This window comes from Homo sapiens, chromosome 19 (assembly GCF_000001405.40).
Source record: "Homo sapiens chromosome 19, GRCh38.p14 Primary Assembly".
Taxonomy (NCBI): domain Eukaryota; kingdom Metazoa; phylum Chordata; class Mammalia; order Primates; family Hominidae; genus Homo; species Homo sapiens.
The window spans coordinates 50,535,166-50,558,531 of record NC_000019.10 but is presented as its reverse complement, the minus strand read 5'-3'; the positions used below and the strand labels follow the sequence as shown (position 1 = coordinate 50,558,531).

The following is a 23,366-nucleotide window of genomic DNA, read 5'->3' as shown; positions in this document are numbered from 1 at the left end:
TACAGCCGGGTGCCGTGGCTCACGCTTATAATCCAGCACTTTGGGAGGCTGAGGCAGGAGGATTGTTTGAGGCCGAGAGTTTGAGACCAGCCTGGGCAACATGGCAAAAGCTTATCTCTACAAAAATACAAAAAAATTAGCCGGGTGTAGTGGTCCACGCCTGTAGTCGGCTACTCAGGAGGCTGAGGTGGGAGGATCACCTGGGCCTGGGAGGTGGAGGCTGCAGTGAGCTGAGATCACGCCACTGCACTCCAGCAGAAATTTGTGTGATGTGTGTGTGTGTATGTATGTATGTGTGTGTGTATGTGTGTGTGTGTGTGTGTGTGTGTGTATGTATACAGTTGACCCCTGACCAACTTGGGGGCTAGGGGTGCCAGCCCCCTGTGCAGTTGAAAATCTGCCTGTAACTTTTGACTCCCCTAAAACTTAACTCCTAATAGTGTTCTGTTGATTGGACACCCTACCAATAACATAAACAGTCAGTTAACACATTCATGTTAAATGTATTCTATCCTGAATTCTGACAATAAAGTAAGCTAGAGAAAAGAAAATGTTATTGAGAAAATGCTAAGGAAGAGAAAATACATTTACTAGCCACTAAGTGGAGTGTATCATCGTAACGGGCTCCCCTGATTGTCTTCACGTTGAGTAGGCTGTGAGCAGGAGGAGGGGGCGGTTGTCTTGCTGTCTCAGGAGTGGCAGAGGCAGGAGAAAGTCCACATATAAGTGGACCACACGATTCAAACCCCTGTCCTTCAAGGGTCAAGTGTAGTCCTCCGCTGGCTGGTAAATAGCTCACCTCAGCCCTTCCTGGGTCCCCACCACCCCCCACCCAGCCCTCCCAGCCCTCTTCTGAAACCTGCTGTTAATTCCCATTTCTCTGATGAGGAAACTGAGTGGCCACAGGGTACTGTTCCTAGCGGAAAATTGGCAGCACCGGGGGGTCGGAGCCCAGGTTTCTGCTTTTCCTGGCTTCCAGCCAGGCTCCGAGTCCTATATGTCACTTGCTGGTCACTTGCTGTGTGCCAGGCCCTACTTGGGCCCCCTTGCCACAGCCCCATGCAGCATCATCAGAGAGGCTGCAGCTGGCCCAAAGTGGCACAGCCAGGGACTGGACGGGAGCCGGGTGGGCGGTGTGTCCCCAGCTCCCCTGCTGCCCTGTGGGTGTGACCAGAGCGAGGCACCGCCTGTGAGTGGAGATTGGGGCTGGGGGGCCTGTGGCAGGGACTTTTGCATTCTCTTCTCCCCGTAACTGCTTCCCGCCCCACATCCTCTTCTGGCTTTTGGAATTTGACCCCAGATCTATAAGAAGAGCCTGGCTCCTCCCTCTCCCTCACCTCCTACACCGCCTCCAGGTTCTGCCACTTTTACAAATTTGCTTTATCTGTTCACTCTTTCCCTTCTCTCCATCCCCGTGGCTCCAGCCGCGGCCTCATCCTCTACCCCCGGACCCCTGGCGCAGCTCCTCCCTGGCCTCCAGCCGCGCCGCTCCAGTCCACTCAGAGGGGTCCTTCACCCACCAGAGCTGAGCCTGCCCCTCTGTTGTCACAGCCCGTTGTGAGAGGAAGGAGGGCCCCCCCGCCCCCGGCCCATTGCCACGGCCTCTGTAACAGCTCGACATTCCCTCCTCCCGGCTTCCCTCCTGGACGTTCCGGGGCCCACCCTGTGCCCGCCCTCTCACTTAGCCCTCGGACGGCTCCCCCACCCCCACACTTGCCTCCCTAGAGACCCAGGGCTCCTTGCCTCGGGTGCCAGCAGAGGAACTGCCGGTAGGGGGCGCTGGCTCGCTCGTTCCTGCAGCAAATACTGAGGCTCGGAGGGGCCAGCGCCGTTGGCCGGCCTTGAGGATGCAGCCGTGGACGCCGCGGCAAAGCCCTCAGGGGCTCCCCTCTTAGCAGGAAGGCAGGCAATGAACGCAGGAACAAATCACCGAGCATCAGGTGCTGGGTGGCCGTGACACGAGCTGTGAAGAAAAGGAAGTGCAAGGGATACGGACGGTAGGGGGAGCTCAAAGAAGACCTCCTGGAGGTGTCGTGGGAACGCAGAGCCCCCCCTGACCCCAGGAAGAGCACCCCCGGCTGGCCGAGGGCACAGCAGGGGCAAAGTCCCCTCAGGGGAACGGGTCTGGTGTGGATGGGAAGAGCCTGGGTGGGAGGCGCCTGGTGGGTGGGAGGAGCCTGGGGGAGAGCGGCGTGGCTGCACGGGAAAGGACAGCCCCCCTCCAAGCAAGTCACCACCTCACCCCCACCCACTGCACCTCACCCCCACCCCGACTGCACCCCCACTGCACGGGCCGCCTGTTGGTCCTGCTGCCCAGTGGCCAGTGGCCCGGGAAATTCGTGAGCTGAGCCAAGCCCCTAGTCCTGCTTCCTCATCAGCAGCTCCTAGGGGGCCTGGACTGCCCTTTCCCTAAGGTTCTTCTACCTCCAGACATAGAAGCCTGACAATTCTCGGCGCTGTGGGGCTGCTTTTATTTTGAAAGCATTCAGGACATGGATTGGCTCAGAACGCCAGCGCTGCCTGTCCCCTCCCCCAGAACCCGGGTCTCTCCCATAGGACCGGCTTCCAGGGACAGAAGGGCTCATCCCTCCCCGGCTTCAATCCCTCTCCACCCTCTGGGCTCCAGGCTCCACTTCTGCCCCAGTCCCTCGCAGTGGGGAAGTTCTTCTCTAGCTCTAACCTCCAGGCCTCTTGCTGCAATGGTAGTCAATTTCCTATCTTCCCTCTGGCCGTCTGAATTTAGCCCCCCACCCCACCCCAAAAAATGAGTGCGCCTGACAGGAACGTTCCCTGCCTCCCATTTCTCCTCACCCCGCCTCTCCTGGGTCCCCGAGTTTCCGATCTGCCATCTGCCTGAATCCTCCCAGGCACAGTGCCCGAGATCTCTCAGAGCTGGGGCTGGGGAGGATGGCGAAGCCGGTGAGGACTCAGCTTCACGCCTCGAGTGCCCGGGCCCTCCCAGCCTCTGCCTTCGCCTGGATCTCAGCTCCATCTCGGGGCCTCCTGTCCTCCTGCCCCTTTCATGCCCCTTTGTATGCCTGTGTCTGTCTCCCTGTGACTCTGCCACTCTCTGCCCCTCGTACTTCTCCTCTTTGGGGTCCTTCTGTGTCTGCACCTCTGGCTTGTTCCTTGCACCAGGTGAGGGAGGAGAACAGGTGTACCCTTGTGATGGGTCCTCTCCCGGGGCAGCTGCGGTGGGAGAGGCAACCGTGGTGACCTGGCTAAGTTCTGGGACTGGGGTTCCAATGCCGGCTGTGCTGCTGGAGGGCTGTGTAACCTTTGGCAAGTGCCGCTCACCTCTGAATCTGTAAAATGGGCACAAGAACCATCCCTTCCTCCCAGGGCCGTGGGGAGAAGCCAGCAGCTTGAGGAGTGGATAGCATGGCACCCACATGTAATCAGTATTTCCCATCACTACTAGGGGTGCGTGGGGGCAGAGGGCAGTCCATGGAGCCTCTGCCAGCCGGGCGTGAAGCCGTGGTGGGGTGTCGGGCGTGTGATATCCTGTGCAGTGCGGGTGACTGCAGGGGCTGAGGAAGGGTGGCTGTTCAGCATGCCTGTGGCCTTGCCTGCACCCTGCCCCCCACACACAGGCAGCCTCCATGGGAATTGTTGCTGCTGTCAGGCCACACTTGGGGGTCTTTGGGGCCCCTGGACTCTGGCAAGGCTGACCTAGGAGGGGCCACTTCCTAGCCGTGTGTTTCGCATTAGGCAACTAACAGTACCTCTGTGTGTCTCAGCTTTGCTAGCTGGGAACTGGGTGTAATAGCAGTCTTCTCTCAGAGGGTTGATGTGAACTGCGGTGGCTAATGCAAGTAAAGCTCCCAGAATGGTGCCCAGTCAGTGCCAGATGTGTGTTGGACGTTACCACCTTTGGTGGTGTCATTATTCAGTGAGTTCACGCAAGTCAGATGTGTGTGCGGAAGAGATGAGGTTAGCCAGCATTCCTGTTATCCAGGTCAGAGGGCTCTATCTGGGGACAACTGGGGCCAGGTGCCCTCTCAGTATGCAGCTGTATCCAGGAGTGTAGCTCACGCAGGTGGTATCTGAGGTTTGGGCAGAGTGGTAGCTTTCCTCTGGGTGCACGGAGCTGCGCTGGGGACCTCCTGTTTGGAACCTGAGGTGTAGTATCTGGGACTTAGCCATCCGGGTGGTGCTGGGGCACGGAGGGTGACCCAGGGCATGGAGGGTGACCCGGGACATTGGTGTCCAGCTGACGTGAGATGTGTGCTTCCTCGGCCAGGTACGGTGGCCCACACCTGTCATCCCAGCACTTTGGGAGGCCAAGGCAGGTGGATCACTGGAGGTCAGGAGTTCAAGACCAGCCTGGCCCACATGGTGAAACCCCCGATTCTAACTTAAAATACAAAAATTAGCCGGGGTGGTGGTGAGCGCCTGTAGTCTCAGCTACTCAGGAGGCTGGGGCAGGAGAATTGCTTGAACCCAGGAGGTAGAGGTTGCCATGAGCTGAGATCGCGCCACTGCACTCCAGCCTGGGCAACAGAGTGAGACTCTGTCTCAAAAAAAAAAAAAAAAAAAAGGTGCTGCCTCTGCCAGCAGGCCTCCTGGGATGGAAGGGGACCTGGGGACCGAGGGTGTCCAGGGCTGGGAGCCTGCATTGTGCAGCTATTGCAGTGCGGCCTGGCTCGGTGTGCAGAACGGAGAGTGGGGGTATCTGTGTGTGAGCGTGGGGGGAAATAGACTCACAGTGATGATAACGTACCCATCCGTCCCTGCACCCAGTGTTTGGTGAGCAACTGCCATGTGCCCAGCACTGTTGTGGGTCCTGGGAACCAAATAGTCACAAACTGACTGCCCTCGGGAAACTTGCCTTCAAGCGCACGGACCCATATAAAAGCTCAGATGCTGATAAATGTCATGGAGAAAAAGGAAACAGAGAAGGTTCTGGAGAGGGATAGGGGTGCTGTTTGATGCGGGGCGGTCAGGACGGCCTCACTGAGAAGGTAGCATTGGAGCACGGACCTGATAGAGAGCAGGGCAAGAGCCCTGTGGACAACCGGCAAAGAGCATTCCAGGAAAAGGGAAGAGCAGGTGCAAAGGCCCTGGGGCCGGGGTGTGCACGGCCTGTTCTGGAAACAGCGAGTGAGCAGGGGGAGGAGGGAAGCGATGAGGTCAGAGGAGGAGCTGGGGTGGAGAGTGGAGACCTGAAAACTGAAGTCCTCATCTCTGCTCTGAGTGGGACGGGAGCTGTGGAAGGCTGTGGAGCAGAGGCGGGGCAGGGTCCATGGGGTGTTGACAGGATACCCCTCGCTGCCCGTGGGGAACGCACGGGGAGTGGGGGTGAAGGCAGAAATGGGGAGGCTGGAGGGGAGGACACTGTAATCGTTCAAGAGGGAGATGGGAGCCAGGTCAGGGAAGTAGCCTGGGCGTGGGGAGAAAGATCCTCTGATTCTGGGGTCTGATTCCGCATATGTTGTGAAGACAGAACTCTTTACCAAGGATTTAGCGATTTAATCCCCACAGTGGCCCTAGGAGGCAGATACTCCCATTATCCCTGTTTCACAGTGGAGGGAACTGCAGCTTGGGAGAATAAGCCACCGGCCCGAGGTTACACGGGAAGTGGCAGCAGAGTCAGGACTCAAACCCAGGCCTCTCGGCACTCACCAATGTGCCCCACTCTCGAGAGGTGCCTTTTGTGGCCCATGGGTGTCCTGGGCTAGTGTCTAGCACATAGCAGGGACTGGGTAGACATTTGTTGGACAGATGGATGGAAGGATGGATGGGTGGACGGATGGATGGATGGATGGATGGGTGGATGGATGGGCGGAGGGATGGAAGGACGGATGGATAGACGGATGGACGGATGGGCGGATGGATGGACGGATGGATGGATGGATGGATGGATGGATGGATGGATGGATGGACGGATGGGCGGATGGATGAATGGATGGATGGATGGATGGATGGATGGATGGATGGACAGATGGATGGACGGATGGGTGGACGGATGGATGGACGGATGGATGGGCGGATAAGTTGAATGAATGAACGTGGCTGCCCTGCAGATTTTGCAGAAGTGTGTCAGGAGGTGGATGTCAGGATCTGGCTAAGGTCCAAGGGAGAGGGGTTCCTCTAGGGGTGGGGGCCTTTGTGGCATGGAGAGGGGCTGGCCCTCAGCCACGGGACGGGGTGACGGTGCAGGGCGCAGGTTCCAGTGCCGGTATATCAGGTGTGGTATATCAGGGTTGGAGTAAAGGCTGTGTGGCATGGTGGGGGTTCAAAGGAGTTCCTGGGGTACAGGGGCATCTGCAGGAAAACGCTGGGCAAGATTGTGTGCCTAGACCCAGTGGGGGGTGTGAAGCTGGGGGGTTTTGGCTGGAAGTGGGGGCGAGGGGGTCAGTGGTGGCCCAGCCCGGTCATGCAGCCAACGAGGCTGTCTGTGTGCCATGAGGCTCCGGCTTGGCACGGCCCAACCACCCCCCTTTCTTGGGCAGCCCAGCCGGCAACCTTCCTCCCCCGCTTCCCCCGACCTTCCTCGGCTGCCTCCTCGGCTGCCCAGAACCAATGGGTTAATTAGATAACGGAGCCTTTGATTAGCGGGGGAGGGGGAGGCCTCCCCCAGGCGGCGCAGGGAAGGGAGGCTGAGGAGGAGGGAGGAGAGGCGCCCTCCCCGTTCAGAAGGAGAGAAAGAAGGAGGGAGGGGTGGGGAGGGAGGGAGCTGAGGCACAGCTTGGCTCTGCACTGCCGTGTGACTAGAAATTGTAATCGCGGAGAAAGAGAGAGACAGACAGAGCCGGGGAGAAAGGGACCAAGACAGACGGACAGACAGACAACCTGACTGAGACGGGCTCAGGGCCGATGAGAGGGTGACAGGGATAGAGCAAGAGGGAGGAATAGATGGAGGAGAAGGAGAGAAGGGGCCTGGGGGTCCCGAGGGAGGCAAGATTGTGAGGGGGGAGACTCAGGAGGGGGTTGAGGCCAGAGGAGGTGGACGGGGACCAGAGGCGGAGGGGGAGGACCGAGAGGGGCAGAGAGAGAGTTAAGGGGGCTGGGGTCGGTGGGTGGAGAGAAAGGAGGCTGCGGTCGGGGGAGAGTCGAGGTAGAGGTGGGAGAGGGGGTGGAAGGAGACCGGAGGAGGCGAGCGGGGAGGGGAGCAGAGAACTGCTGCAGTGGCCAAAGGACAGCCCCCCCCAGGGGTGGGAAGGGCGACAGGCCAGTGGGGGGGGCGCGGGGAGACCCAAGAAGCCCCTGCGCCCCCCCCAGCACGATCTCGACAGGAAGCCCTGGAGAACTGGGGAGGCAGAGACCCCGGCTGGCCGGAGGCATGTGGAGGGGGGGGCCTGGGCGCAGGGAGAGGCCCAGCGGAAGCCAAGCCACCAGGGTGAGTGTCCCCCACCGTGGGGTTGTGGGGAGAAAAGGATGGGAGATGGCGGAGGGCGGCGGGGGGAAGGGGAGGGAGGCCGAGTCGCTGCAGAAGCCGTGATGGGGGTGGGGGGATGCGGGCTGGCAGCGGGAGAGCTGGGGACAGATGCGGAGGTAGACATGGCAGCGGCAGGCCTGGAGGCCGGGGTGGGTGCCGTGGGCTCCCACAGGCCCTGCGGGGTCCCCCGGCCTCAAATCCAGGCCCTGCGCTTTGGGCCAGCCCTTTGGCTAAGAGGGTGTGGGCTGGATCATCGCCAGGGTCTTAAGAGGTAGGAGCCCCTGACCCAGGATAAGGACTGGGCATTGACCTCCCTGTTCACATTCAGGAAAATGAAGACCCTCACCGCACTCACATAGTCAGACACAGACACACGGCCCCAGCCCTGCAGGAGAAAAATGAGCCCGGGTGGACACAGAATCAACCTCTCTCTCTTTCTCTCCCCAGCTCCCTCTTTCCCCTGCCCTCTGTCTCTCTGCCTCTGCTTCTGTCTCTGTCTCTCTGTGTCTCTGTCTAGCCCTCGCTCTCACACATGCACTCAGATACACAGACGTATGCACACACATTTTTATCTGGGTTAAAATGGTCTTGGAAACTGCAGGAGGAGGGAGTGACTGTGTGTGTGCATAGCCGTGTGCCTGGGGGTGAGCCTGTGTCGGGGGTCCTGAGAGTCCACCGTGAGAGGGGGGTCCTGAGAGTCCACCGTGAGAGGGTGTGCCCCATCACTGCTGAGTGTGTGAGTGGGTCGGTGTGCGTGTTTGTGTGACCTGCCCTCCTCCTGGTCTCTTGGGAATGGTTTGGGGTTGGCCTGTGTTGGGGCAGGGCCTGCTGGTGTGGGTGTATTTGTGTGTACTCAGAGATGCTGCGTGCAAAGGAGAGCTGGGAGCCAGAGGGTAGACCCAGGGCCGAAGTACCCCCTCTGCGCCCTCCCGGCCTGCTCTGTGCCCTTGGACAGGCCGTTTTCCCTCATAGTGCCTCAGTGTCCCCATCTGTAAATTGGGCATCCTAATAGCTTTCTCCTATGGTCATTATGAGGCTCACATGAGATGACCGGGATACAGTTTGCTGCATTGCAAGGGCTCACCCAGTGTTCCGGAGAGACTATTGTTACTGGTATCGTTGCTGTGACTCACCCATCCCCTTTCCCTCTCTGGTTCCATGGAAATGGCGGGGCAGGACAGATTGGGGAGGTACAGCGTGACTTCTCAGAGGGCCCGAGTCCCCGCTGTCTGCTTTCCTCCCAGAACCCAGGCAGAGTCCCTGGACCCCCTTCCCTTCCCCATCCCCTCCCCGAGAACCAAGCTCGGTCCTGCGGCAGCAGCTGGCATGAGTCCCATCGGGGCTGTCTCTGCCTGGAGCACCCACAGTCTCGGGGCAAAGGAGGGGGTGCAGCTGGTGGCCTCTCGGCCTGTGCCGCCCCCCGTCAGGTCCCCAGCCACCCTCACACACAAGCTCCAGTCTCCTCCCTCTTCACCCTGCTGCCTCCCAGCCCTCCCTTCACCTGCCCACACCTGTCACCTCCACGGTTGCCTTGTCTGCCACCTTACCTCTCTCTCCCTCAGATTCTCCCATGAGTCTGACTCAAGTCTCTGAAGCTGCTGTGAGGCCCCCACAGGGCCTGGACAGGGTGGGCAGTGACAGGAGGGTGTGCAGCGGAGGGTCTTTCGGTTTAGCTGAGGGCACAGGGGGTGGGGGAAATGCATCTCTTCGCTAACATCCCTGGGATGGGGAGAGGGGGAGGGAGTGGAGGGGAGAGGAGGCTGGGACCCACCTCCCAGGTGATCACGCAGGTGGCAAGGGGACCGGGCGGGTGTTGGGATGGGAGCGAGGTCCTCGCCACCTCGCTTGCTCTTCCCCGTTTCTGCCCCCTCGCCTTGTCTGTCTGTCTGTCTGTCTCACTCCTCTGATGTATCTACCTTTTTGAAGTCATGCAAAGAACTGGGTTTTGAATCTGGACAACTTCTGCACTTACTGGATGAGTGACCTTGGGCAGGCACTTCCTCTCCCCCAGCCTCAGTTTTCCCTGCTGCAGAATGGGCGTAGAATCTTGCCAGCATGGAGAGGATGAGCTAGTGCAGGGCCAGGCGGGCCAAGCTTCCCTCTGCCTGCCCCAGCCTGCTGGGTGGGTCCATCGGCAGCTGTCTCCCTCCCTGTCCCTTTGTTCTGGGCATGGGGCAGGGAGGCGGCGATGGGGCTGCCTGGGTGTTGGCAAGCACCCAGGCCACATGGGCTCCTGTCCCTCACCAAGCCTCTCCCCCTTCTCTCCCCCACCCACAGCCCCCCAGCGTCCACGCGGAGCATGAACATTGAGGATGGCGCGTGCCCGCGGCTCCCCGTGCCCCCCGCTGCCGCCCGGTAGGATGTCCTGGCCCCACGGGGCATTGCTCTTCCTCTGGCTCTTCTCCCCACCCCTGGGGGCCGGTGGAGGTGGAGTGGCCGTGACGTCTGCCGCCGGAGGGGGCTCCCCGCCGGCCACCTCCTGCCCCGTGGCCTGCTCCTGCAGCAACCAGGCCAGCCGGGTGATCTGCACACGGAGAGACCTGGCCGAGGTCCCAGCCAGCATCCCGGTCAACACGCGGTACCTGAACCTGCAAGAGAACGGCATCCAGGTATGCGGGGCCAGCGGGCAGAGGGGGACCTTGGAGGGGACACTGGGGAGGCATGCAGATGTAGCCCATCCCTTCTGGGCCTCCCCACACCGGGGCTTCCCCGTCTCCGGCACCTGTGGATGTGGCCTGCGGGTCTGCATCCTATCAGCTGGAGCCGGGCTCCCGAGGTGGAGTGGAGGCCCTCCGGGCTTTGAGAGCACAGTGCTCCCTGTCTCTGAGCCACCGTGTCGGGGCCCAAGTGCAGGCCACCTGCCCAGCCCCCCCGGCACAGGACAGGCGGGTCGGCCTAGGCCGAGCCCTGGAGTCCCTGGGGTGTGGAGAGCAACCCTTTCACAGGGACCCCTGTGGCATCTGCACCACCACACCCTCTCGTGGCCTTGGGAAGGTGACGGCATGATTCTGAGCCTCAGTTTCTTCATCTGAAAAGCGGGGACAATGCAAGCCCCTGCGTTGAGGTGTTGCTGTGAGGGCTGATGGGTCTGGTACTTATTGGGGCGTTAGCTTGTGTGCTGGCACCTGGCGAGTGGTCAGAGGACAGGAGGCGTTTCCATGGTCATTTGCCGGGCAGTGCAGGGTTTGCGTCCCCATTTCCTGGAGCTGGTGTGAGAATTGGAGAGCAGAGAGGCTGAGAACGCTGTGGTGCTTGGCGCCATGGTGGCCTGTGGCTGGTGCTCAGGATGGGGCAGCTGCCACTCAATTAATGATGACTCTGATTAGGATAGGCCGTAAGCGAGGGCTTGGGGGGACAGAGCTGTGCTATTAGAAAGCAGGGCTTCTCAACCTCTGCCCTATTGACATTTGGGGCCTGCCCTATCATCCTTTGGCGGGCAGGGTGGGGGGCTCTGTCCTGTGTGCTGTAGGATGTTTACCAGCATTTCCGGCCACTAGATGCCAGTAGCACCCCACCCCCAGTTCCAAAAATATCTCCAGGCATTGCCAGTGATTCCCAGGGGATCATTACCCCAGGCTGATTTGGTCCAACTCCTGCCTCCAAGCAAGCCTCCTCCTGTTCCAGCCTGTAAAGCTGGGAGAGAAGAGGGTGCCGATGCCAGAGGTCCCAGCCCCTCCAGATCTAATCTTCCAGATGTAACAGCTCCCGTAAGAAATGCGGCTGCTTTTCTGCCTGGTCTGTCCCTGGGAAAGGGTGGGAGGACTTGGCTGCTCCCATCTGACCATCCTGAGAGCCAGATTCAGGGAAGAAAAGGGACCTCTCAGGGGAGCAGTCCCTTCCTGGTGGCTGTGGGGCAAGGGCCAGCGAAGGGGTCCAGAAACGTCAGGGGCGTCGTCACATCACCACCCCCCGCTCCCGCAGGGCCTTGTCCCTCTGTCCACGCCCACCTCCCACAGGCTCCCATGTCTGCCAGTTTGCTTTGAGTCTGCCCTGCATCTCCCTAGTTGCAGTCTCCACCGATCCATCCACATCTCCCTTGAGCAGGTGACATTCCGCACTGTGCGGTCCCCATGCACCTGCCCCCGGCTTCCCTGCACTCCATCCTTCCCCCACTTATACACGTGACGTTCAACAGACACCGGCAGCACCGGCTCTGCACCAAGCCCTGTCCTGGGTGGTGACCGAGCCAGGCAAAGCCCAGCCCTAGCCCCGGCAGCTCACATTCTAGTGGGGAAGAAATGAGGAGGAAAAGGAGCCAGTGGCTGGGACGGCACGCCAGGGAAACGCGCTTTGCAGAAATGGCCAGGGAGAGCGTGGGACAGGGAGGCACCCACGCCACTCACCAGCAGCCCCAGGCCGTGGCAACATCCCCGTCGTAGAACCTGGACCCGTTTCTCTTTGTGGGGGGGCGAGGGGGCTCAGTGAACAATTCAGTCCCACAAACGTGCTGAGCGCCACCAGCGGACGTACATTCATTTATGATAAGTCATGCACAGGCCCGCTCCCTCCGTATATCATGCACCTGGTAAAGCACACACCCAAGGTGGACATTGTCAAAGGGTGAAAAGCATCAATAGGGATCCAGACGCCTCTATTTCTCATCCTCCCCACCCAGGGGTTCTTGCACCGCCCCCTGCCCCACCCAGAGACATGGATGGAGGGTGTGTTCGTCCAGTCCACGAGAGTGGATGCTTGTGAGTGTTTGTCAGTGGGCTTGGCCTCCCTCAGTGGACACATCCCAGACAGCAAGAGGCATGGACCACGTCGAGGGTAATCAGAGGCTCTTTATTTTTGTATTTATTTATTTATTTATTTTGAGACAGAGTCTCGCTCTGTCTCCCAGGCTGGAGTGCAGTGGCGCAACGTTGGCTCATTGTAACCTCCACCTCCCGGGTTCAAGCGAGTCTTCCGCCTCAGTCTCTTGAGTAGCTGGGATTACAGGCGCCTGCTGCCACGCTCAGCAAATTTTTATATTTTTAGTAGAGACGAGGTTTCACCAGGTTGGCCAGGCTGGTCTCGAACTCCTGACCTCAGGTGATCCACCCGCCTCGGCCTCCCAAAGTGCTGGGATTACAGGCGTGAGCCACCACGCCTGGCCCAGAGGCTCTTTAAAAAGTAATAACTTTTAGCCTGGCGCGGTGACTCATGCCTGTAATCCCAGCACTTTGGGAGACTGAGGCAGGTGGATTGCTTGAGCCCAGGAGTTCAAGACCAGCCTGAGCCACACAGCAAATCCCCATCTCCACTAAAAAACCAAAAATTAGCCAGGTATGGTGGCATGAGCCTGTGGTCCCAGCTACTTAAGAGGCTGAGGTGGGAGGCTTGCTTGAGACCAGGAGGCAGAGGTTGCAGTGAGCTGAGATTTCACCACTGCACTCCATCCTGGGCAACAGAGAGACCCTGTCTTAAAAAAAAAAAAAAAAAAAAAAGTAATAACTCTTTAGTTATCCAAATAAAAAATTGAAAAAATCACCCTAGTTCCATCACCAGATATAAATAACTACTGTTTACATTTTGTTCTAATGCCTTCCTGGCTCTTTCCTGTCTCTATGTAAATGGTTTCATTTTTAGAGACAGGGTCTCACTCTGTCATTCAGGCTGGAGTGCAGTGGGACTATCATGGCTCCCTGCAGCCTTAACTTCCCTGGCTCAAGTGATCCTCCTGCCTCAGCCTCCAGAGTAGCTGGGACTACTGGGAGACACCATCACACCCAGCTAATTCTTTTTTTTTTTTTTTTTTTTGAGATGGAGTTTCACTCTTGTTACCCAGGCTGGAGTGCAATGGCGTGATCTCGGCTCACCGCAACCTCCACCTCCTGGGTTCAAGTGATTCTCCTGCCTCAGCCTTCTTGAGTAGCTGGGATTACAGGCATGTGCCACCACGCCCGGCTAATTTTGTATTTTTAGTAGAGACAGGGTTTCTCCATGTTGGTCAGGCTAGACTCGAACTCCCGACCTCAGATGATCTGCCCGCCTCGGACTCCCAAAGTGCCAGGATTACAGGCGTGAGCCACCAAGCCTGACCTTTTTTTTTTTTTGAGATGGAGTCTTCGCTCTGTTGCCCAGGCTGGAGTGCAGTGGTACGATCTTGGCTCACTGCAAGCTCCGCCTCCTGGGTTCACACCATTCTCCCGCCTCAGCCTCCTGAGTAGCTGGGATTACAGGCGCCACCCACCACGTCCGGCTAATTTTTTGTATTTTTAGTAGAGACAGGGTTTCACCGTGTTAGCCAGGATGGTCTCGATTTTTTTTCTTTTTTATGAAGACAGGGTCTCACTATGTTTCCCAGGCTGGTCTTGAACTCCTGGACCCAAGCAATTCACCCACCTTGGCCTCCCAAAGTGCTGGGATTACAGGTATAAACCACCTAACCCAGCCATAAGTGTATTTTTAATTACTTATTACAGAATGAATATAAATTAATTGAGAAAAACTAGAAAATATACCTAAGTAAAAACAGGAAGACAGAAGCCAACCATAATCCCACAGCCATGGGTAGCTCTCCTTCGCTTTGGTGTCTTTGCATTCGGACACCCTCCCCACCCATGCACAGTGTGTTGCACAATTGCTGCTGATTTGTAAATGGAGTTTTAGCTTTTTTATTTTTTTATTTTTATTTATATTTTTATTTATTTTTTTTTTTTGAGACGGAGTCTCGCTCTGTCGCCCAGGCTGGAGTGCAGTGGCGTGATCTCGGCTCACTGCAAGCTCCGCCTCCCGGGTTCACGCCATTCTCCTGCCTCAGCCTCCCAAGTAGCTGGGACTACAGGTGCCCGCCACCACACCCAGCTAATTTTTTTGTATTTTTAGTAGAGATGAGGTTTCACTGTGTTAGCCAGGATGGTCTTGATCTCCTGACTTCGTGATCTGCCCGCCTCGGCCTCCCAAAGTGCTGGGATTACAGGCATGAGCCACTGCGCCCGGCCTATTTTTTATTTTTTTTGAGATGGAGTTTTGCTTTTGTTGCCCAAGCTGGAGTGCAATGGTGCAATCTCAGCTCACTGCAACCTCTGCCTCCCGCGTTCAAGCAATTCTACCGCCTCAGCCTCCCAAGTAGCTGGGATTACAGGCGCACACCACCACGCCCAGCTAATTTTTTGTATTTTTAGTAGAAACGGGGTTTCACCATGTTGGGCAGGCTGGTCTCGAACTCCTGACCTCAGATGATCTGCCCGCCTTGGCCTCCCAAAGTTCTGGGATTACAGGCCCAAGCCACCACACCCAGCCAGCATCCTGTTATTTAACCAGGCCCTTCTTTTTCTTTTTTCTTTTCTTTCTTTTTTTTTTTTTTTTTTTTTGAGATGGAGGCTCACTCTGTCACCCAGGCTGGAGTGCAGTGGTACAGTCTTGGCTCACTGCAACCTCTGCCTCCTGGGTTCAGGAGATTCTCCTGCCTTAGCCTCCCGAGTAGCTGAGACTACAGGTGCCCACCACGACACTCAGCTAATTTTTGTACTTCCTAGTAGAGACGGGGTTTCACCATATTGACCCGGCTGGTCTCGAACTCCTGGCCTCAAGGGATCCGCCCACCTCGGCCTCCCAAAGTGCTGAGATTACAGGTGTGAGCCACCGCGCCCGGCCTCCTTATTTCCAATTTCTGAGTTGATATGAACAACACCGGGGGGACATCCGTTGGCTCATTCTTCCTAATGTTCTGGACTCTGCCCTTGGGATAAATTCCTAGAAGCGGAGTTTCTGGGTCTGAGGGATGATGAGAGAAGCACCGCCCTGTGAGTTCTATGTGGCTTCCTCATTTGAGTGTACTTCTCCCTTACACACAGAGACACACACACACACACACACACACACACACACCAGGGCCTGGCACTGGAGCATTGGTAGCGGCAGGCTGAATTCTGGGGATTCCAGAGCCTCCCGTGTGACCTGCCGCCTTGGTTGTCATCTGTCCCCCGCCGCGCTGCCACCTGCATGAAGGCAGGGACTTTGCAATGTTCCCTGCCGGATCCCCAGCACCTAGGGCCGAGCCTGGCACACAGGAGGTGCCCAGCAGTTGTTTGCCTCTGAATGGGAGGCCAGCTCCCGAACTCCTGCCCGGATCCTTGGCAGAGGCCTGCAGCCATCTGTCGGTGGGAGCCGACGCGAATCCCTGCGACGCCCTCCCGTGAGCTCTGGGGGGTGGCTCAGAGACTCCTGTTCTCGCCTGCCCCTGGCCTGGGTGCGGTGTGGGCAGCAAGAACCTCGCGGGGACTTTGGGGGACTCTAAGTCCACGGGGTGACGGTGCTGGCCTCTCTCTGGGAAGCTAGAACGTTGCCATTCATCTTTGGTGAGAGAGTTAAAATGTTCTTCTGCCACATGACAGAGACAGTAGGTGGTCCCCATAGTAAGACAGAGGATGTGTTTTTTAAAATATCATGGCCAGGCGCGGTGGCTATGCCTGTAATCCCAGTACTTTGGAAGGCTGAGGCAGGCAGATCACCTGAGGTTAGGAGTTCGAGACCAGCCTGGCCAACATGGTGAAACCCCATCTCTACTAAAAATACCAAAATTAGCCAGGCATAGTGGCGTATGCCTGTAGTCCCAGCTACTTGGGAGGCTGAGGAAGGAGAATAGCTTGAACCCAGGAGGTGGAGTCTGCAGTGAGCTGAGATCACACCAATGCACTCCCGCCTGAGTGACAGAGCGAGACTCCGTCTCAAAAAAAAAAAAAAAAAAAAAAAAATCAGCAATTCTCTGAGGCCCTGCCCCGGCCCCACCACTGTTTTTTGAGATTGGTGGGGCCTGCAAGCCTGGAGCCTCAGGAAATGCCTTTTAAGGCAGAGGCCAGGAGACTGCCTCCCCGCAGCTCACATGCCCTGGCCCCCTGGGAGAAGACCGGGTGCAGATCTTCGCCTCCATCTCCTCGGGACCTGGGGGGAAGGTGCACCACCTCGGCTGGGCCCAGCCTGTCCACTCCTCGCTCCTCAGTCAGGTACCTGGTCCTCACCGGACTGGCTCCTTCCTCCTTCCCTCCCTTTTATCCTCATATCCCCGCCTTACCCTCTCCCCACAGAAAGTCCTCCTAATGTGTTTACTGTGGATTTTTTGCTTGTGTGTGTTCTTGCAAAATGGGTATTGTTGCTTTGCGTACACGTATTCTTAATTTATGCAGATGAAGCTGCGTTAAGATCGCTGTCTTTGTCTCACTGTGTTCGCTCGGCCTGTGTTTCTGAGAGTGGTTCATATTGCTGTGTGTGTCCACTCTGCTGCTGTTGCTGCTACAGAATTGATGGGCACCCACCCCCGTCCATCTGCCAAGTCCCCCACTGCTTCCTGATGAGACTGGACGTCCCGGAGGCTTCTAGCTGCCCCACCGCAAATCCTCCCTCAGGACCCCTCTGGGAGCTGCATGATCATTTCTGTGGAATATATACCCAGAGGGAATTGCCGGGCCGTAGGATATTCATGTACTTAATTTAACAAAGTACCACTGAATCCACCCAAGGCTTTTAGCGGGCGGCTCTGGGTCCCTCCTGGGGCCGGCTATGAGGTTGTATGGCAAGCAAGTGTGGTTCCAGCTTAAGGAACAAACCAATCCATCCTAAGGAAATTATTAGAGGGGCTTCAAAGAGTTGTGTTTAAGGATGGCCCGACTACCAACGTTTAGAAGTAGCCTCAACTCCTGCTGACAAGGGACTGGTTACATCAGCGGTCCCCAACCCTTTTGGCACCAGGGACTGGTTTCATGGAAGATAATTTTTCCATGGACTGGGGTGTCGAGGAGATGGTTTTGGCATTACATTTATGGTGCATTGCTTTTTCTTTTTCTTTTTTTTTTTTTTTTGAGATAGAGTCTTGCTTCACTCTGTCACCAGGCTGGAGTGCAGTGGTGCAATCTTGGCTCACTGCAACCTCCGCCTCCCAGGTTCAAGCGATTCTCCTGCCTCAGCCTCCCGAGTAGCTGGGATTACAGGCACACCCCACTGTGAGCGGCTAATTTTTCTTTTCTTTTCTTTTCTTTTTTTTTTTGAGACAGAGCCTCTCATTTTCGCCCAGGCTGGAGTGCAGTAGCGCCATCTCGGCTCACTGCAAGCTCCGCCTCCCGGGTTCACGCCATTCTCCTGCTTCAGCCTCCCGAGTAGCTGGGACTACAGGCACCCACCAGCACGCCCGGCTACTTTTTTTGTATTTTTAGTAGAGATAGGGTTTCACCATGTTAGCCAGGATGGTCTCGATCTCCTGACCTCATGATCCGCCTGCTTTGGCCTCCCAAAGTGCTGGGATTACAGGCGTGAGCCACCACGCCCGGCCGGTGCACTTTATTTCTATTATTATTATTACATCGTAATGTATAATAAAATAATTATACTACTCACTATAATGTAGAATCAGTGGGAGCCCTGAGCTTGTTTTCCTGCAACTAGATGGTCCCATCTGGGGGTGATGGGAGACAGTGATGGATCATCAGGCATTAGATTCTCATAAGGAGCAAGTAAACGAAATCCCTCGCCTGCACAGTTCACAATAGGGTTCACGTTCCTATGAGAATCTAATGCTGGCCGAGCGTGGTGCCTCACGCCTGTAACCCCAGTGCTTTGGGAGGCTGAGGTGGGTGGATCACCTGAGGTCACGAGTTCGAGACCAGCCTGGCCAACACGGCAAAACCTGTCTCTACTAAAAATACAAAAATAACCCAGGCATGGTGGCAGGTGTCTGTAATCCCAGATACTCAGGAGGCAGGAGAATCACTTGAACCCGAGAGGCGGAGGTTGTAGTGTGCTGAGATCGTGCCACTGCACTCCAGCCTAGGCAACAGAGCAAGACTCTGTCTCAAAAAAAAATTTTTTTGTAATTTAAATAAAAGAGAATGTAATGCCGCCAGTGATCTGATAGGAGGCAGAGCTCAGACAGTAATGCTCGCTCGCCTGCTGCTCACCTCCTTCTGTGCAGCCTGGTTCCTAACAGGCCACCCACCAGTACCGGTCTGTGGCCTAGGGGTTGCGGACCCCTGGGTTCAATGAATCACTGTGCCCATTACAATGGAATATTATGCAGCTATTTAAAACAGAGTTTCAAATAATAGTGGATGACATGGGGAAATGCTCAAAACGTAATACTGAGCTTTCAAAGAATGTGAATAGGATCTCCAATTCACTTTTAAAACTTAAGCAATATATTTTAAAAGACCGAGAAACACCCAGGAAGGTCAACAGGGTCTTTTCTCTTTGCATTAGTATTACAGGGATATTTAATTTCTTCTTTATGTTTTCTTTATTCTCTAGATTTTCTTCAGTGAGAGCATTTAATAACTTTTTTTTTTTTTTTTGAGATGGAGTCTCGCACTGTCCCCCAGGCTGGAGTGCAGTGGCGCGATCTCGGTTCACTGCAACTTCCACCTCTCGGGTTCAAGCAATTCTCCTGCCTCAGCCTCCCGAGTAGCTGGGACTACAGGCACCTGCCACCACGCCCTGCTGATTTTTGTATTTTTGGTAGAGACGGGGTTTCACCATGCTGGCCAGGCTGGTCTCGAACTCCTGACCTTGTGATCCACCTGCCTCGGCCTCCCAAAGTGCTGGGATTACATGTGTGAGCCACCACACCCAGCCAATAACTTTTATAATCAGAACAAATTAAGCTTTAAAAATACTAAGTATAAAATCCTATGCAAGCTGGAAAGAAAAAAAAAAGGCTATACTGGAATTTGCTCACCTTTTCCTAAATGAGGAAAAAGAAACAAAAATTTCAAAGCATTTATCTGGAGCAGGGGGTCAGGGAGCGCTCATCTAACCCCATTTATTCCTGTGAGGGCAGGATGACTTCTCCCATCTTATGGACGTGGAAATGGAGGCACAGGCTCTGAGTGACTTATCCAAGGTCGCCCAGCAAGCTGTAGCCCCCATGGGCTTGCCATGTGCCTCAGAAGGTATATATGTCTGTCCCACCCTGAGAGTCAGTGTGGAGAAGCCAGGCCCAGACAGCCAAAGTGGGGCAGCTACAGGATGGTAATTCTGTTGCAAAAACAAAAAACAAAACCTGGCCGGGCACGGTGGCTCACGCCTGTAATCCCAGCACTTTGGGAAGCCAAGGCAGGTGGATCACAAGGTCAGGAGTTCGAGACCATCCTGGCCAACATGGTGAAACCCTGTCTCTACTAAAAATACAAAAATTAGCCGGGTGTGGTGGCGGGCACCTGGCTACTTGGGAGGCTGAGGCAGGAGAATCGCTTGAACCCAGGATGCAGAGGTGGTAGTGAGCCGAGATCGTGCCACTGCACTCCAGCCTGGCGACAAAGCAAGAATCCGTCTTGAAAAAAAAAAGGCGGCGTGCGGTGGCTCGCACCTGTAATCCCAGCACGGTGGCTCACACCTGTAATCCCAGCACTTTGGGAGGCCAAGGCAGGTGGATCGCTTGAGCTCAGGAGTTTGAAACCAGCCTGGGCAACATAGCAAGACCCCATCTCTACTAAAAATACAAAAATTAGCCAGGTGTGGTGGCACGCACCTGTAGTCCCAGATCCCTGGGAGGCTGAGGTGGGAAGATTGCATGAGGCCAGGAGGCAGAGGCTGCAGTGAGCTGTGATTTTGCCACTGGACTCCAGCCTAGGTGGCAGAGCAAGACTCTGTCTCAAAAAAAAAAAAAAAAAAAAAAAAAAACAAGACAAAACCCAAACTAACCAAATAAAAACCCCGGCCATAGTGCATTATCAAGGCAAATACCAAGAATAGCTTTTAAATTACCCACTAGTTCGCATTTTCCAGGCGGCTGATCCCTCCAGGGGCATGAAACATGGAGCTTTTGATTGGACAGACTTTTCCCAGTTAGAGCCCTTTAAGGAAGAAAACGGTGGGAGGGCCGGGCGCGGTGGCTCGCGCCTGTAATCCCACCACTTCGGGAGGCCGAGGCGGTTGGATCACCTGAGGTCAGGAATTGGAAACTAGCCTGGCCAACATGGCGAAACCCCGTCTCTACCAAAAATACAAAAATTATCTGGGAGTGGTAGTGCGTGCCTGTAGTACTAGCTACTCAGGAGGCTGAGGCAGGAGAATCACTTGAACCCGGAGGCAGAGGTAGGTTGCAGTGAGCTGAGATTGTGCCACTGCACTCCAGCCTGGGCAACAGAGAGAGACTCCATCTCAAAAAAGGCAAAAAAGAAAGAAAGAAAGAAAATGGCGGAAGGGAGGATCTGTAGAGGGGAATCTAGGAGCTGACCTCTCTTGAGGTCAACTGGGACATTCCCCAGCCGCGGGCCTGCGACCAGCAGCCAGGAGGTCCTCTGGATAGGAGGGAGCAGTGCGCCCTCTGCCGTCCGTTCCCGGGCTGCTGAGACTTCGTGTCTAACTGCGGCCTCCCTGGCTCTCATTCCAGCTGAGTTATCCTCTTCATTCCCTCAGCAGCGCCATCTCGGGGCCCACATAATCCTTGTCACCACTCCGAGCCTCAGTTTCTACCCTTTTCAAATAGGATTTCCCATACTTTGTCAGTTTCTTCTTAACTTTTTCTCATGATGACTCACAGCACACTTACAGAAAAGAACAGTCGGCCGGGCGCGGTGGCTCACACCTGTTAAAGTTAAATTGACAAAGGCGTAGAATTGCTTGGCGTCCTGCAAAGCCACATGGCCCCTGAGCCTCGGGACAGGCTGCTGGGTGGGAGTATCAGTCCCACATCTCTGTTGAGCAGCCTGCGAGTCCTGAGAGGCACAAGACCCGCGTTCTCCCCTCCACGAATGACGCTAAGGCGTTGAGTCACCTCTCTGAGCCTGCCTTCTCGTCTAGAAAATAGACCAATTATTTCTACAGCTCAGCGAGGGTGGGCGGGAGAATGTCAGTCGGGCCCCCAGCATTGCTCCAAGCCCTTTACAGGGTCAGTGAATTTCAGCCTCACGACAGCCCCCTGAGTAGGTCCTATTCTTCTCATGTTACAGATGAGGAAACTGAGGCATAGGAGAGTTAAGACACTTGCAAACGGTCCTGGTCCCATGGTTAGTAACGGAGCTGGGACTCGGCCCAGGCAGGCTGGCTGCAGAACTTGGTTTTTTCAACGCGATTCGTAATGCTTCCTAATTCGTAGCTATCCCTGGCGCTGCACCCTGGTGACTCAGTCTCAGAACTGCCACTGAGTCCCAGTCTACATCCCCACAGCCCAGCCTGGCTCTGGCCTTGTCCTTGCTCATCTGGAAGCCCCAGCTTCTTCCTAGCCTCCCAGATGTAGCCTGTACCCACACACCCCTGCCACCACACCCAGCTGGAGTCGCCACACCAACTCCTCCTAGGGGACACCTTTCTGCAAGCCACCCTGTCCCCATCTCAGATCAGGATGAGTATGCCTGGCGCTCCCAGCTACACCAAGCTCAGGGGCACCCTCTACTGGGCACCAGAAGCTACCCCAGCCCCTTCCTTCCCACCCTTCCAGAAACTTGCCCTGCCTTTAAATAGTCACAGACAGATGTGCTTGCCCTGTGCCAGGCGCTCTTCTCCATGGCTTACAGATATCGAGACAGTTTAATCCTCACAAGGATGCCGTGGTCTCGTCACCACCCCGTGGCGAGTCTAGGAGCTGAGCTGAGACCCGTGCATCTTTCTCCCTGCATGGGCTGTCCCTCCTGTGTCTGAACAGCCCCGGCTAATCCATCTGCAGCATTCAGTGCAGCCCTGATTTGTTTATTGAGCACCTAGTGTGTGCCAGGCACCACCCGAGGCCCAGAGAGCAGGACATACAGAGATCCCTGCCCTCTCGACACTGCGTGCAGAAAGAGGTCGTTCAGAAAGTCGGCAAGTCTCATCCGGGCACAGTGGCTCACGCCTGTAATCCTAGCACTTCGGGAGGCTGAGGCGGGTGCTCACTTGAGGTCAGGAGCTTGAGACCAGCCTGACCAACGTAGTGAAACCCCATCTCTACTAAAAATACAAAAATTAGCCAGGTGTGGTGATGTGTTACTGTAATCCCAGATACTCGGGAGGGTGAGGCAGGAGAATCGCTTGAACCTGGGAGGCGAAGGTTGCAGTGAGCTGAGATCATGCTATTGCACTCCAGCCTGGGCGACAGAGCGAGACTCCATCATAAAAAAAAAAAAAAGGAAGGTAAACAAGTCCAGTAGCAGCGTGCACGAGCTGGCGGGGGGCTGCTGAGCTGAACATAGTGAGGGGAGGCCAGGGAAGGCTGCCCAGGAAGCGGTGTAGGCCCATGGCCTGTGCCTCAGCTTAACCCCACTCTCCCACCCCACCCGCAGGTGCCTTAGGCAAAGTCCTGCTGCCTTGCTTGGTCTTGCACATGCCTCTGATATAGATCTCATCCCCTTGTTGTTTACACCCAGGTTCAGATGCCTCTCTGGGCTCCTGGTGGTGGGGAAGGGTGGGAGGCGGGTAGCCATCCAGCCAGACTTTCCACCCAGGCCAGGGCCTGGTCCCAGAAGGGCTCAGGAGGCCACTCCCAGGAGGATGAATGGGAGGAGGGAGACAGGGACGTCTAGGCCTGAGCCGGGTCAGTGTGAGAATCAGGGGCCCACAACGGCCCCTGCAGTGCTGCCAGTCATGGCATCAGGGAAGTCCCTGTTGGAGAGGGAGGCACAAGTTCCTTGTCTCAGGGACAAGCAAGAAATATGAGAAGTCATCATAAAGACAGTTGATGTGACAAATAACGGTTTTTAAAATCTGAATGTAAAAAAATTAACACACACACACAAACAACAGTAAGCTTGCTAAACTTTTGTGATTGACTCATTATATTCAAAACATAAAAACAGGCCGAGTGCAGTGGTTCACGTCTGTAATCCCAGCACTCTGGGAGGCAGAGGCAGGCAGATCACCTGAGGTCAGGAGTTGGAGACCAGCCCGGCCAACTTGGTGAAACCTTGTCTCTACTAAAATACAAAAATTAGCCTGGTGTGGTTGTTTGCACCTGCAATCCCAGCTACTCAGGAGGCTAAGGTGGGAGAATCACTTGAACCCAGGAGGCGGAGGCTGCAGTGAGCTGAAATCATGCCACTGCACTCCAGCCTGAGCAATAGAGCAAGATCCTGTCTTAAAAATAAATAAATAAATAAACAGG

General features: G+C 55.9%; 1 protein-coding gene across 7 annotated transcripts in view, besides 3 other annotated features; it reads left to right on the top strand.

Annotated features, from left to right (window-relative positions):
* The window catches only part of LRRC4B (leucine rich repeat containing 4B), a 51,544-nt gene that overhangs the window by 9,904 nt on the left and 18,274 nt on the right, over positions 1-23,366 (top strand). The window contains exons 2-3 of one of the 7 annotated variants that reach the window (XM_006723506.4): positions 7,225-7,342; positions 9,659-9,990. In XM_006723506.4, the coding sequence (XP_006723569.1) occupies positions 9,694-9,990 (297 nt within the window). In that variant the 5' untranslated portion in view covers positions 7,225-7,342; positions 9,659-9,693. Of the gene's footprint in view, positions 1-297; positions 1,998-6,715; positions 7,343-7,489; positions 7,653-9,208; positions 9,504-9,658; positions 9,991-16,091; positions 16,312-23,366 lie in introns of those variants that run through there. The other 6 variants (XM_011527520.4, XM_005259429.6, NM_001348568.1 and 3 more) reach the window with 6 other exon arrangements.
* Positions 2,001-2,060: a silencer, noted in NCBI's record as "silent region_10973". NCBI's record gives its function as "represses an Ori minimal core promoter by ATAC-STARR-seq in GM12878 lymphoblastoid cells {active_cell/tissue: GM12878}" and the evidence as "EXISTENCE:reporter gene assay evidence [ECO:0000049][PMID:35858748]".
* Positions 2,161-2,270: a silencer, noted in NCBI's record as "silent region_10972". NCBI's record gives its function as "represses an Ori minimal core promoter by ATAC-STARR-seq in GM12878 lymphoblastoid cells {active_cell/tissue: GM12878}" and the evidence as "EXISTENCE:reporter gene assay evidence [ECO:0000049][PMID:35858748]".
* Positions 5,859-6,770: an enhancer, noted in NCBI's record as "H3K4me1 hESC enhancer chr19:51055019-51055930 (GRCh37/hg19 assembly coordinates)". NCBI's record gives its function as "activates a minimal SCP1, AML or CMV promoter by ChIP-STARR-seq in primed H9 embryonic stem cells {active_cell/tissue: H9 hESC(primed)}" and the evidence as "EXISTENCE:reporter gene assay evidence [ECO:0000049][PMID:30033119]".